Source organism: Homo sapiens, chromosome X (genome assembly GCF_000001405.40).
Source record: "Homo sapiens chromosome X, GRCh38.p14 Primary Assembly".
NCBI lineage: Eukaryota > Metazoa > Chordata > Mammalia > Primates > Hominidae > Homo > Homo sapiens.
The window spans coordinates 34,647,881-34,663,562 of record NC_000023.11 but is presented as its reverse complement, the minus strand read 5'-3'; the positions used below and the strand labels follow the sequence as shown (position 1 = coordinate 34,663,562).

Sequence of the window (15,682 nt, the reverse complement as noted above, 5' to 3'; positions counted from 1 at the left end):
CATCTGACGCACACTTCTTTCATTATAATGAACGTATTTATTTTAAAACTAATCATCCTTTCCCTCTCATGTCTTTTAGTGTTTCCAATTCCATGATTTGTTTTCTTTTTTTGTGGACAACTATATTTTTATGGTCATAGATCCTACTGTGAAACATCAATTAATCTGAAATCAAAACAGCGTCTAATGTGAATAGTAAGTTACTTGATATTATTGACCGAAATCTAACTAATTCAACTTTATAGTACATTTTTAAAATAGAAAAGACATTAGAAAATGATAAAATTTTGATTTTTAGATGCAGGATTATTAATTTTTATAAATGGTATTTTTTAAATAAAAGCAGAAACAGCAACTATCAATCACCGTCATTTATGATAATTTTAAGCCAAAAAATTTGCAACAATGCAACAAGAAATCCCAGAAATGAAACAGAATGCACCAGAATCTGGAGCCCTCTTGACCTCGTTAATTACCATAAATATCAGGTAGGCCTCATTATATTATGGTTTCACTCAAATCACAGTCTTTCTGGAGTGGACTTCAAGAATAAAAGTATAGTAAAGACAGTAAACCTCTAACGTGCTCTTTTCCATTTCTTATTCCTAAAGTATCTTGTTGACCTTATTACTTGTTCCACTGGACAAGCAATGGGTACAATGGTGTTAACCTTATTCATAGTTTTGCTTTCCTCGGTTTCAGTTACCTAAGGTCAACCACGATCTGAAAACATGTTAGCACAGTAAAATAAGATATTTTGAGAGGGAAAGAGATACTACATTCATATAACTTTTATTACAGTATATTGTTATGATTGTTCTATTTTATTATTAGTTGTTATCAATCTCTTATTGTGCCTAATTTATAAATAAAATTCTATCTAAGGTGTGTATGTATAGAAAAAACACTATATATATGATTAGGTACTATCTGTGGTCTCAGACATCCACTGGGGTTCTTGAAACATATCCCTGAAGATAATGGGAGGACTAGTGTATTTCTAATTTTTCAATGAATATTTAATTGTTTTTCTCTCAAGGAATCTGTTTGTCCCTCCATTCAATTTCTTCTCTCTGAGAGCAAAGAGGTCTAACCAGTGCATGTCTGGATGTGATCCCAGTGCTGAAATCCACAGTGTATGAACAACTTTCCAGGATCTGGAAGGAGAAGTGCAACTGAAAGAGCCCAACCAGGTGGCCCTGTACCCAATGGACAGAGCCTACTCTATATGGATGGAAGTCGGAAAAACTGGAGGATACCTTCCCACTGCCCATCTAAAAAATGGGCTTAAGATTGGCAGTGACCAGTGGCTGCTGTGACAGTGACACATTGGGAACTTGGACAATGTATGAGATTTGCTGGGCTTGAAAACAGTAAATAATTTTTTCCTTCCTAATTGGTTAAGTCCTTAGTGGTTTATCCCACGTGACTGAACTTAAGTAGTTGCACATTTCAACTGTTAAAAAAAACACAGAGTTAGTGTACTTGCTGATAGGCTATAAGCTAACAGCATGACAGTAAGTTCTCTTTATTTTCTTAAGACCAGTTCAACATCTGAAATGTGTTCCCCACATCTCTTCCACACCTTCTACCTCCAGCTATGACACTTTCCACTTCCCTGATGAACTTCCCAGTTTCTTCCATTTGACCTTGACCTCTCACATTACTGACCTGTTTCTGTGGCCTCAGTGGTTCAAGCTTGGAGATGATCTCATCCTTTATTTCAGGGTTCAGAGAGAGACAACTTCCTGCCTTTCCCTGGCTATACAACTCATATACCCAATTTTCATGGAGCTCCTGTACTATATGACTCTAGTTGTAGCCTTTGCCCCATAAGGTCCCAGGACAGGGGTGATCATGGTGATATGGTGCCTCAGCTAGCCTCGGGTAAAGGAGGTGGCTTCTGGCCTTTGTGTGATGTGACAGTGCAGGGCCAACAAAGCCATCCCTTTTAAGAGATCTTAAATCTCCTTGACTAGGGACTTGAATTTTCTTCACAGTTCAATCCATTTCTCAAATCTGGGTCTATTTTAACTTTTGTTTCTGCCACACACACACACACATACACACACACATACACACGCACACATATATATTCACATATATGATACATACATAAGATACATACATAAATCTTAACTGTCACTTCCCACCCCAACTACCACCCACTTCCAGTCAGATACCTTTTGGGGGGTAGGTTTTCATTCAATGTTTGCTAATTTTGGAATCTCCCATTCTACTTTTCCCATTTTTAGGGTAAATACAAGTCTATCATCTTTTTTTTTTTTTTTTTTTTGAGACAGAGCCTTGCTCTGTTGTCCGGGCCAGAGTGCAATGGTGCAGTCTTGGCTCACTGCCACCTCTGCCTCCCAAGTTCACGCGATTCTCCTGCCTCAGCCTCCCCAGTAGCTGCGATTACAGGCATGCACGACCACGCCCGGCTGATTTTTGTATTTTCAGTAGAGACAGGGTTTCGCCCTGTTGGCCAGGCTGGTCTCGAACTCCTGACCTCAGGTGATGCACCCGCCTCATCATCCCAAAGTGCTGGGATTACAGGCATGAGCCACTGCACCAGGCCAAGTCTACTGTCTTTTATATGAAACTTTTGGGGCCAGCTATGTTGGGCAATTCATGATTTTTCAGATATTCGAAGAATACTATGGTGCATACACTGTGGGATCTCTGCCTACATATTTCTTCACACTAAATGGATAAATTGAAACCATAGATAGCCTCACATCAGTTTGAAAGATGTTTTCCCACTGTTGGGGATCAGAAAGCTCTAATCTGAGAAATAGATGCCCCTATATTAGCTAATATGAACCCTGTGGTTAAGGAAACAAAATGACTTATGGGTCTAGGGTTCAGGGCCTAGCTGACATGGCAAATTTCCAGATTCCTACTGTTCTGAACTTCCAAACAATAGGAGCTATCAGATTCCTACTAATTCTAAGTTACAACCCAGACCACTGCAGCTCTGATTGGACATAGTACGGACCTTATAAACATTCTTTTCTCATAAGCAATTACAGACCTTAAGCCAGTTTCAGCCAGCTTACAGAGGCTGCATAGAAACTGTCTTTGTGTCATACAGTTCAACTTTTGATGTAAAGAGCCAAATTCCACCTCGTTTTAGTGCTAAGACCCTGCCCCAAAGTGAACATGGGATGTTACATATATGTTTACCCATTGTGCATGCTTTCTTCTCCTCTGATAAATATGTATTGCTTTTCTCCCAAACTTGCTGAATATATATGATTATATTTTGTAATATGGACCCCGTGAGGTATAAAACCCAACCTGTCCTTCCCCTATTCAAAGAGGGAGCACCTTCGGCTCCTGCCAGAGACCTTCTCTTCCCAGTTTGAAAACTAATATCGACAATAAAGCTCTTCTTTCTAGTATTTAGCCATCCTGGTGGTCTTTTGGATGATAAAACAAAACCCCCAAATATGGTGCTTTGACATACTGAACTCAAGAATCAGCCTCAAGGACTCTCTCTGACTTTTCCCTGCCTCTCTGTCTCTCTGACTCTCTTTGCTTCCTGAAGCACCAGGAGGAATTCCCTCTGGAATTTCCTTATATAACTAAGAAAACTCCTTTCCAAAAAAATGCAATTATCTTAAGACCCCTTCCCTTGAAATCTCATCAAATAACCAGGAAAGATCAACCACCCAGAAGAGACTGGGAGTTCTCACTATGTCAGGACTGACTTTTCATCTATTCCTTCCAGGGCAGTTCAGAAATTACCTGGGAGGCTCAATCTGCATAACAAGACAACCTTTGTTCACAGTGACATTCCGCCCCTCACCTTACTGCCACCTTCCCCAGAGCTCAGAAAAACTTTGTTTCAGGCCATGTTCTTTGGGCCCAGTTTCCCCTGGCAATCATTTACTCCTACACCCCTCATCTCTCTTTCAGTGAAGAAGGGTATATAAGCATCTGGACCTCATTGTGTTATTGGGTAATCACACTCCTGTGATTTTTTTCCCTGTGCACATAAAATAAGTTTTACATGCATTTTTTTTCTCCAATTAATCTGCCTTTTCTCAGTTCATTTCCAGTGAACCTTCAGCAGTTGGAGAGGAAGTGTCCCTGTGCCCCTGAGTTTGCTACAAATATATGAAAAGAAAAAAAATACTTTTGAGAGTTTGTTGTATTTTGAAATTGAGGATTAGGGATGGTTGATGGGCCTATGTTGTGCAAAATTCTATAAATTATTAATAGAGGAATAGAGTTTTTTAAGGAAAATTTGGCTTTTTGTTAAAAATTGTTTACTTTTCTAGTTTTGGAGACAGTATAGAGACAATTTTTTTAGATAGTATAAAGAAGGATGGAGTAACTCAAGCAAGCAGTTGAGAACAAGCCAGAAAAAAATTAAGCAAAAATGTGGGTGGAGGTGGGGGTTGGGGTAGGGGTAGAGGGGAAAGAAAGCCTGCATTGAAGAGAATAAAGAAAACTATTGGCTAATTGGAAAATAAACTTATTAAAGAGAAGATGATAGAAGTTGGAGGCAAAATAAAGATTTCTTTATATCTTTGAGAGCACACTCAAGACATTTTCTTATTACTTTTGAATACACATTATAAATCTAGATAAAAGAACAGTCACACAATCCTGGTCACCTCTTAATTGTCCCGGTTTGTAAATTTTTCAGTGTTCCCTAATTTTTTAAGGAGAATATGCACTTAGGCTTCTTTCTAGTTGAGAAGCCAAGAAGCCCTTTGGGATTTGGAGGTTAGTGAGCTCTGGATGCTCTAGGCATTCTTTGTTAAGGGTCCTGCAATAATTAGCACGGTAATGATTGAGAGGTGGGAGAAAAGTTCCCGAAATTGTAAATATAAGAAAAGCCCGGGCGTTTATTTTACATTAGGTTTGTTCTCATTTGACACTAACTCGATTGTTTCTTAGCCCAAAATGTTGCTGCAGTCAACATGTGTTCAACCTATGGAAAGATGTGGTTGGGGAAAAATAATTTTTATCAACCAAAAGTATGAAATCTTGCAACATTGAGGATTGTGTTTCATAGAAGAGAGAACATGTTTCTTGCATTCTTCAGCTCTTAACCACTGTTTTGGGAGTCTCACCAAGTTTTTGGGATGACTAAAGATCTAGAAACATCGCCCCTCCTCATTAATGTATTCAATAAATTATTTATTTTATAGAAAAGATGGAGATGAGTCAAAGAGCTACAAGAGACAGATAACCCACCAATCACATGCTGAACCAGGCAATTACAAAATTTCAATTTCAATTTCAAGAGGTGTTTAGTCCTCACATAAGGGAGAAAATATGGTGCATCTACTTAAGAACAGGACGATGTCCTATTGTGTTGAATCCTTAGCCCTTAGATGCTCAACAAATATTTGTAGACTGCTTAGTTTACCATTCAGGAAATATACACATCACTTTTCCTATTGCAGGTCCTGGGCTAGATCTTGCTAAGGACAAGGACATCCTAATACCCAGGAGGGGAATTAGATCCAGCTTGGCATAATGCAAAGCGGAATTAATAAAGGTTTTAGCCAACACCCAAAGGGCAGAGCAGTGGAGATGGAAATAAGACTTACTTCATATTTCGCAGGAGCTCTCATTTCCTTTTTAGCGCCTGCGTTTTCAGAGCAAATGCCCTTCATAGGGGGGCGCAAAAGCAGGTGAGCCCAGAGAACAGAAGCGGCAGCAGGCTAGCGGAGAAGTGAGAAAACAGGGAAAACCGGGGGACTCCTGGGCCCGTCTGGTTTTGAAAAGAGGGCAAAATGCATTTAGTCACTTTTCTCCTCCGTCCCGCAAATCTCTCAGGATGTGAAATTGTCCGGGGAGGGGCGTGTTACATCACTGAGAGACAGAGGACCTGTCCTTGCTCCAAGAGGCACAGCTTAGGAAACCTAGGAATCCACCTCTGGCGCCTTCTAGAAAACCGCCCACTCCTGCTCCCTAAGAAAAGGAAACCCACGTGACTGGGCGAAAGGGGAGAGCCCGGCGACCTGGAGCCAGCGAGGCTGGGGGCCCGGCGAGGGCCGGGCTGGGCGCGGGGCTGCTTCAAGGAACTGCCGCGCGCTGCGAATCGGGGGCGCGGGCTGGCACTGGGCTCCGCCCGCGGGCCAGAGGCGGGGTAGGGGCGGGACAGGCGCGAGCCTCCGGCACTGGGAACTGGAGCCGAAGCCACCAAGTGCTGGCCCTCCGCCCCTCCCCGTACGGCACCGCCTCCCGCAGCCCGGGGAGGGGCCGGGGCGGAGCGAGCCCGGCCGAGCCGGGAGGAGCGGGCGCGGGCGCTGGCAGAGCGCGGCGCGGGGCCGGCGGCGAAGGTCCGGGGTGGAATCGACGTCGCTGCGGCTGCCGACGACCCACACCCGGCCGGCCGCCTCCGCAGACCCACCTTGGCCGCGCGGCAGGGGGCGCGCAGAGCCCCGAGGGAGCGAGTCCCCGCGCGTGGCAGCTCGGCGGCTTCTCCCTTCGGGAGGTCCGGCTCCCGGCTCTCCGGACCCGCCTGGCGTCCTCGCCTGCGGCGGGGCGGACGACAGCGGCGCCCAGGAATGGCTTCGGCGGGCAGCGGCATGGAGGAGGTGCGCGTGTCGGTGCTGACCCCCTTGAAGCTGGTCGGGCTGGTGTGCATCTTCCTGGCGCTGTGTCTGGACCTGGGGGCGGTGCTGAGCCCGGCCTGGGTCACAGCTGACCACCAGTACTACCTGTCGTTGTGGGAGTCCTGCCGGAAACCCGCCAGCTTGGACATCTGGCACTGCGAGTCCACGCTCAGCAGCGGTGAGGGCCTGGCGCGCCGCGACCCCTGCCTCCCGCCCCGGACTGCCCCGCGCCCCACTGCCAGGACAGTCACCGCCTGTCCCCACGTCCCCGCATCCTCTGCCCTGGCCCGTCCCACCCCGTCCAGGCCCTTCTCGGATCCTGGGGCTCCCGCCACCTCCCTGGCATCCACCCCTCTTCCCTCCCCATCCCTGGTCGCCAAACCTAAAGCGACAGCCCACGCCCTCTCCCTTCCCCGTGGCCATTCCTCCTGTTCTGGAGTAACACGTACGCTATTTTGGGTATTTGTTATCATTTGAGGCGAGAGCCATGTGGCTGTGTAAAAAAATGCGACGCCTTCCACACCCCCGTTAAAAAAGAAGCAGGCAAAAACGCCCCAACTCCACCGAGATGCTGCGGGGGTTCGCTGTTCGGTCTTCCCCACTCTTTTTCCTTCCTCTCTCGAGGACGAATTTGCCTAGTGTTCACATTTCTGCCGGTTCCACTCCACCTTATCTGCGTTTTCACCAATGTATTTCGGTTTGGATTTTATTTCCTTACGTTTTTGATGGATATGAAGAGTTGAGAGAGGGACAGGCTTGTTTTCCTTTCCTTTTTTGGTGACGCCGCCGTTGATTGTGAGTTGCCTTTCTTTCTCTGCCACTCTAAGTAACTCTTCTCTCCTCCAGACCTTTCTTTTCTCCATGAGCTACTCACAGATGCCTAGAAAGTTGTGCTTTATTCCGCCAGCGCTGAAAGCTGCAAATGGATAAGATGGGGGTGGGGAGTGGAGAATAAGGTAGCTACTGAGGCTACCAGTCCCAGGGGGCTTTACTGCTTTCCGCCCTCCCTGACCCTCCAGTTGCCTTCCCCGGCGCCCCAGTTATGCCCTTAGCAAAAATCAGTCAACTTATGATTTCTCGCTACAAACCCCTTCCTTTCTAATTTTGATTCTTCAACTGCTGGTGTCAGCGAAGAGAAAGGGAAATAAAGAGAGAGGACCTGCCGGCGATTTTCTTTCTTTCTCTCTCTTTCTCTCTCTCTCTCTCACACACACATACACAGACTCACACACACACACATAGACACCTGAGAAACTCATTACATTCCTTCCAGTTTCATGTCTTCTCTGGGACTATTTATAAAGCTTTCCTGGAAACGTTTCAAGTTGTAACAAAGTTGAAATAGCACAAAAAGCCACAAAAATCTGATTTTCTTTTGTCTTTGGTTTCCTGTTATAACACAGGAAAATTTGACCAAGTTTCTTCTGTAAATTTAATTTTGTGTTTAAAAAAGGCTTTTTCTTTGATACTACCTCAAAATTCCCATTGAAGGGTTTCCTCTTTGTTGGTTAATTCACTGTGGAGGGAACTGGTTGGCAGCAGGAGGTCAACATTTAGGTCCTTCAATTCTTTCAGGGTTGGCAGTTTACAACTAAAGATAAAATAAATCGGCAGAATTTCTTTCTTCGGTAACCAGGGGATCCAAATAAACTTTGGCGAAAATATCTCCTTTCCCCTCTTCAATAATAAAATTTATGTAGGAATGACAGCTACTGCACGACTCCTTGGCAACGTGAATGTTTTGCCCCTTTCTCTCTGTCTCCTGAAATAATAGACCCCTGATTGCATAAAGACTTTTCAGATAGGTTAGAGAAACCAGTTTCAACTCACATTTGCTTTTCAAGCCAGTACCCTTTTTTCTTGGCCAGGAATGTAGGGAATGGGGAGAAGCCAGCTCGAGTTTGCAGAGCAACATACAGTGTTTGCTAACCTTTTCTTAATTGCCTCCATACCCATTTATCTCAGCTTTTTTCCTCTCTAGTCAAGGAAATATGGAGACGCAAGCCTAATGCAAATATAGCGGTAATAGCACTCTGCAAAGTAAAAATCAAAGGCAGGCCCAGTTTGGGATTTTTCCCTGTTTATTCTACCCCCTTGCTGAAAGTCATAGCCCAGCGTATATTTCTATTTGGATTTCTGAAAATCAGCTTTCATCTTATCTTGCCTTAAAAAAATAGTTTTCAGCCCAGATAAAGTAGAATTCATAAGCAAATGGGTAAAAAGTAGAGATGATTTTGTTAGAGGTTTTCTGGAACAAGTTCTTGACTTTGTGTATATATAATAGCAGTTCATTTTTTGCTCTCCACGGTGATGGTGGGACACAGGGCGGGGGTGGAGGAAAGGAAACAAGATATGGAAAATTGCTCTGTGTCCCCACTTTACAAAATGTACTTTCTTATGTTATGTGAATTTGAAGCTTCTGTCCGCCAGTGTTTTGAAAGGAAGGGGAATGCCCGAATCAAAACCAGCAGTGCTTTTCTTGTCTGTTCCAAAGGGCAAGCAGCTTTTTTCGTCTGTTTGCTGTGTGGAGTAGCAGAAAACAGGGAGGGAAATGTCTTCTCTGAAGATTTTGAGAGATCCACATCTTTGTCTTTCAAAATAAATTACCTTGGGAGGAACCACCAAGGACACTTTTACTGAAGGCCCTTCACCAGGATCTTTAAGGCTTAATTAAAAATGTTTGTCTTAATTAGAATTAAAACTGCTGTGAAGAGGCAGGCCTGTATTTACTGAAGGAGCATTTCAGGAATGTTTCTACTCACAATAGTATGCCCTACTTAGACCCAGTTTCTACTGAAACTTTCCCCTAAGCCATTATTTTTAAACTTGCATTTTAATTTTGGTACCAAATGTGCATCATTTGCTGTTTATAACCTGTTTTATGATTTTAAGCAAAAGTAGAACCATGCCTCTTGTGTTCTGGTGTATTGAAGGTTGCGTCAGCTCTTCTAGTACGAACCACTAATCCGGTTGTCAGTCAGCCGTAATGCTTTTCTCTGGTGTTCCAATTCAATGTATGGAGGACAGTTGAGGCACTCATCTTAAGTTCTAAGTGTTCCAGAAAGACATATGAGAAAGCGGCTAATTGACTGTGATTAATGGTGGAAAGAGAAAAAAAAAATAAAGTGTGCTTGTTAGGAAGTTTAGAATACGCAGTACTCACATGGCTGCCGGCCACAGAATTCTTTCTAAGGGTAGTTTTCCCCAGTACTGTTTTGGGGAACCTTTTAATAAACCTTAAATCTTACACAAATTATAGTAATATTTTAGACTTCTGCTTAGTCACATTTAGTTTGCTAACTTTATTTCTAGGATATAGTTGCTAGGATTTCACAGCAATTACAAGAATCCTTAGTGTAAATAGGATTGGCACAAGTGTATACAGAATGCTGATGCCCTAAATTTGATATCAAATGTGCTCTATAACCTCTAAGGAGACTTTACATTTCTTCTTTAAAATGTATAAATACATAGCTATTTCATGTAAAGCAGATTGCTTTTTGGTGTCTGTGTAATTTGTTGACTAAGGAGAAAGCAAGGACATACAGATGGCCAAATGAACACTTTTACTAACAGTAATTTAGGGATATAACAAATTCATTTTTCCTTTTTTTATCCCAAAATACTTGATCAAATAGTACCTTTTTTCAAGGGATATTGTTAACATCATTCACATACTATCCTAAAAATAGCTGCATTTGTAACGTGAGTCATTGGTAGTTTTGAAATGGCAGTATACCATATGCTAATAACAGGTGAATATTATCATTTCTAATTGACAAGAAATTCTTTTTAGAGTGCTTTATATGTAGATCTTTTTTTAACTTTAGTATAAAAAGCTACTTTAAAAGGAATTTATAAGAAAGCCTATCTTAGGTGTTAAAGATAAATGGAACTGCCTAACCACCTGCACGTCTTAGCAAATCTGAGATATAGTGATTCTGAGTTCAAACATGTTTCATCTGTTCATATTTTGCATTTATTCCTTAATTCGAAAACACAGTTTCATTAGGAAACCTCACAATGTGATTTGCTCCGGGGAAGGTTCAGCTTGTTGCTTGAAATGTGTTGATATTGATGCATTTTTACAAATAGCTCCGCAAGCCTGGAAGTCACTATTGTTATACCCACTTCTGGCTTCCTTGAAAAGAACATAAGAAGAATAAATGCAGTTTTGTTTAACCTAGACATCATAGACGGGTGGACAGTTAAGAGTACCAGAGAGCACCAAAACTTTCTCCACTGATAAGCCAGAGAAAACCAAGTATAACTTATTTCAAGATCTTCCTGATGACTTTCTCTTAATGTCTTTTAGATTTTCAGGTTCCTTAGATTTACTTTTACAAAGGACATTTTAATGTGTGAACAGATATAATTTCTCTTTTGCTCACATTCATAGAAGGATTATAATTCCCAGGGAGCCACTTAGATCAGTCTTGGCAGCTAAGGGATTTGATGGGTGTGGGAAAAGCCTGGCCTTTCGTAAAACATTTCAAAACAAAACAAAAACAAACAAAAGAATATCTCAAGCAATAGATTTTACTTGCTGTCGGGAATACATTTCAAGAAATTTCCTGCAAGTTTTTGTTTAATAGTAAGACCACTTGCAGAGACCATAGATATAGTCAGTGCTACTAGACATGCTAGTGAAAGGAATATAGATGCTTCAAAATGTGTCTCTGGAATACCTAACCTAAATACCACAGCAGGGAGCTCTCTGAACCACTTCTGGTTCTGAGGGCTACCCCAAAATAACTAACCGAATAAATAAATAAATACCACAACAAACTTCCATGTGAGCTATGCTAAATTGTAATGTAATTCTGTATCAGAGTAGAGTAGTATGTTGGAGAATAAATGAGACATTGGATTCTAACTGACCTGAACTTGGCCACTTACCAATCATGTGACCTCATACAACTTAATGTCCTCAAATGGTTTATCATAAAGATTAAATATATGAAAGTGCCTGTTTGTTAGTGTTATGTTTCTTCCTGGTTACGTATTCAGAAAATCCCAGTGATACTTTTTTCAATAATTGAAGATTTTTCCCCTTTAAGTAGTAAAATCTCTGCATTGCATAATGAATTGCATAATGAAGTACTTTGTCAATTTCAAATTTAAATTTTGATATGCATTACCTAACATTTAACAATGCTCTTGGTAGATCATGATCACAAAACTATTATCCTTTTATTCAGTCCTATTACAAGCCAGACACCTCAGTTATTCCCAATGTCACAATAAACTTGCAAGGTAGCTAAAGTTATCCCTATATATTATTGAGGAAACTTTGGATTTTTGTTAAGATTACCAAGGTCTCAATTAACTAGTGGTAAAGATGGATTCTTACCAAGAGTATTCCAGTTGCTAATGCTGGGAAACTAACCACAACAAAAGTTAGTCGTGTAAAATAACCATTTTATTATACTCATGAATTCTGTGGGTCAGGAATTCAGATAGGACATAATGAGGATGGATGTCTGGAGCCCTTGTGGAAGATAACTTGAATGGCTAGGAACCAGAACGTCTGGAACTGTAGGGTCATTTTCCAAATGATTTCGCTCACAGGTTTGGCACCTTGGTGGGGAAGGCTGTGAGATACTGGGCAAAGCTGTGACTCTCCCTGGAATGCCTACAGGTGGCCTTTCTAGCATTGTGGTCTTAGGATATTGGAATTCTTACAAATTGAGTGGGTCCCGCAGGACAAGAGTCATAAGAGCCAGAATCTCTCTGAACTAGGCTGAGAAATCACACATGTCTTCTACCACATTCAGTTGGTTACAAAGGAGCCATATGGCCAGCTTGGATTTAAGGGAAGGAGAATTGAATACCACCTTTTGATGGAGCAGTGGCAAGTTCACATTGTAGAAGAGAATGTGGGATAGGAGTTGCTGTTGGGCCGTGTTTGGAGCACACAGTCTGACACTGAGTCTAACTGCAAATCTGCATTCTTTATTGCCTTTGAAGAACAACAACAACAACAACAAACGGCCAACCAGTTTGTCTTTGCTTTGTAGCTTCTGTACTTAAGAACTTTGAATTGATTATATAAATAATGTCTGACTGGGACAAAACCTTCCCTCAGCCAGCATATGGCTTTAATGACTGGTTACTTGTACTTTGGATATGAGATGGAATGAACTCGAGAACCTAACTTTTCCACAAACAGAGAGATACATGTAAAACCTTCCAAAATCTTTGGTTTAGTCTCAAACAACCAAGGCTCAAACTGATTATGAATCTGGAATGTAATTTGCTACTTTATGTTGTATGATAAAATTTTATTCTTTTTTTAGAAAGTTATGAATGCATCTGATGATACGCTTGCTACATGAACACTAAAACATTAAAATTCCAGACAGGAGCCAAGTTTTATAGTGCTAGAGAAGTGTTGGAGTTAGAGTTATTTTTTGTTTGTTTCCTTTTCCTTTGTTTTAATAACATAGCTCTTCTCTTAACTACTGCCCATGTATTGAATCTCAGAGTTGTAACGTGTTTAATAAAATAGACAAGATTTTTAACATAATCCAGTCTAATCAAATTTATTACATGATTAAGGAAAATGAAGAAGGATACAATGTTAAACACTCAATAGAGAGGGTACATTTTGCCATAGTATTTTTGGAGGGTTGGTTTTTAAAATGTTCTGTAATATTGTAGATAACTGTCACTTGGTGTTTGAAGTATTGTTGAATGATGTCATGTATGGAAGCTTGGATGAAGAGGTGAAGGACTGCATGTGAAATAGCTGCCCACTTTTTGTAAGATTATTTATCATCCATGATTTGATTTCACATAGAATTAAAGTCTGAAAATAGAATTATATGTGTTGATAAGTACATTTCAGATGTTTATTACCATCAAATTTACATTTTAACCATGACTAGTGCTTAAAAATAAACACTTCTACTTTAAGTTTCTCCATGATGGGGTACGTTAAAATAATGGCTTGGGGGCCAGGCGTGGTGGCTCACGCCTGTAATCTCAGCACTTTAGGAGGCCGAGGTGGGTGAATCATGAGGTCAGGAGTTCGAGGACAGCCTGACCAACATGGTGAAACCCTGTCTCTACTAAAAATACAAAAAATTGGCTGGACGTGGTTGCGGGCTCCTGTAGTCCCAGCTACTCGGGAGGCTGAGGCAGGAGAATCGCTTGAACCCGGGAGGCAGAGGTTGCAGTGAGCCGAGATCGTGCCACTGCACTCCAGCCTGGGCAGCAGGGCAAGACTCCGTATCAAAATAAATTTGAAAAAGCTTAATTTTTTTTTTAACTTTTATTTTAGGTTCGGGGTACATGTGCATGTTTATTATATAGGTAAACTCATGTCACCGGGGTTTCTTCTACAGATTATTTCATCACACAGGTATTAAGCCTAGTACCCAATAGTTATTATTTTTCCTGATCCTCTCCCTCCTCCCACCCTCAACCCTCAAGTAGACCCCAGTGTCTGTTATTCCCTTCTTTGTGTTCACGAGTTCTCATGATTTAGCTCCCACTTATAAGTGAGAACATGCTGTATTTGGTTTTCTGTTCCTGCGTTAGTGTGCTAAGGATAATAGCCTCCAGCTCCTTCCATGTTCCCACAATATGCATGACCTCGGTTTTTTTTCTGGCTGCATAGTATTCCATGGTGTATATGCGCTACACTTTCTTCATCCCATCTGTCATCGATGGACATTTAAATTGATTCCAAGTCTGCTATTGTGAGTTGTGCTGCAAAGAACATTCTCCTGCATGTGTCTTTATGGTAGAACAATTTCTGTTCTTTTGGTATATACCTAGTAATGGGATTGCTGGGTTGAATGGTAGTTCTTTTTTTAGGTCTTTGAGAAATCACCATACTGTACTGCTTTCCACAATGGTTAAACTAATATACACTCCCAATAACTGTGTATAAGTGTTCCCTTTTCTCCAAAACCTTACCAGCATCTGTTATTTTTTGACTTTTTAATAGAAGCCATTCTGACTGGTGTGAGATGGTATCTCATTGTGGTTTTGATTTGAATTTCTCTAATGATCAGTGATATTGAGCTTTTTATGCATATGCTTGTTGGACACATGTATGTCTTCTTTTGAAAAGCGTCTGTTCATGTCATTTGCCCGTTCTTAATGGGGTTGTTTATTTTTCTCTTGTAAATTCATTTAAGTTCTTTATGGATGCTGGCTATTAGATCTTTGTCAGATGAATAGCTTGCAAATATTTTGTCTCATTCTGTAGGTTGTGTACTCTGTTGATAGTTTCATTTGCTGTGCAGAAGCTCTTAACTTTAATTTATCCAATTTTTCAATTATTGATTTTGTTGCAATTGCTTTTGGTGACTTTGTTATGAAATCTTTGCCCGTTCCTATGTCCAGGATGGTATTGCCTACCTTGTCTTATAGGGTTGACAACGTAGTTTATAGTTTATGGTTTTGGGTTTTACATTTAAATCTTTAACCCACCTTGAATTGATTTTGTATGTAGTGTAAGAAAGGGGTCAATCTTCTGTATATGCCTAACCAGTTATCCCAGCATCATTTGTTGAACAGGGAGTCTTTTCTCCATTGCTTGTTTTTCTCAATTTTGTCAAAGATCACATGGTTATAAGTGTGCAGCCTTATTTCTGGGCTCTCTATTCTGTTCCATTGGTCTATATGCCTGTTTTTGTACTACTAGTACCATGCTCTTTTAGTTACTGTAGCCCTGTTGTATAGTTTGAAGTCAGGTAATGTGATGCGACCAACTTTGTTCTTTTTGTTTAGGATTGCCTTTGCTATTCGGGCTCTTTTTTTGGTTCCATATGAATTTGAAAATAGGTTTTCTAGTTCTGTGAAGAATGCCAGATAGGAATAGCATTGAATCTGTAAATTCCTTTGGGCAGTATGGCCATGTTAATGCTATTGATTCTTCCTATCCATGAGCATGGAATGTTTTCCCATTTGTTTATGTCTTCTGTGCTTTCTTTGAGCAGTGTTTTATAATTATCCCTGTAGATCTTTCTCCTCCCTGGTTGGCTGCATTCCTAGATATTTTATTTTTTTTGTGTGGCAATTGCAAATGGGATTGCCTTCCTGATTTGGCTCTCAGCTTGGCTAACAATAGCTTAATTTTAAGTTGA

General features: G+C 41.2%; 1 protein-coding gene across 1 annotated transcript in view; it reads left to right on the top strand.

Annotated features, from left to right (window-relative positions):
• Positions 1-6,277: 6,277 nt before the first annotated feature.
• TMEM47 (transmembrane protein 47) overlaps positions 6,278-15,682 on the top strand; it is a 30,211-nt gene continuing 20,806 nt past the window's right edge. The window contains exon 1 of the mRNA NM_031442.4: positions 6,278-6,759. Coding sequence (NP_113630.1) covers positions 6,534-6,759 — 226 coding nt within the window. The 5' untranslated portion in view covers positions 6,278-6,533. The remainder of the gene's footprint in view (positions 6,760-15,682) is intronic.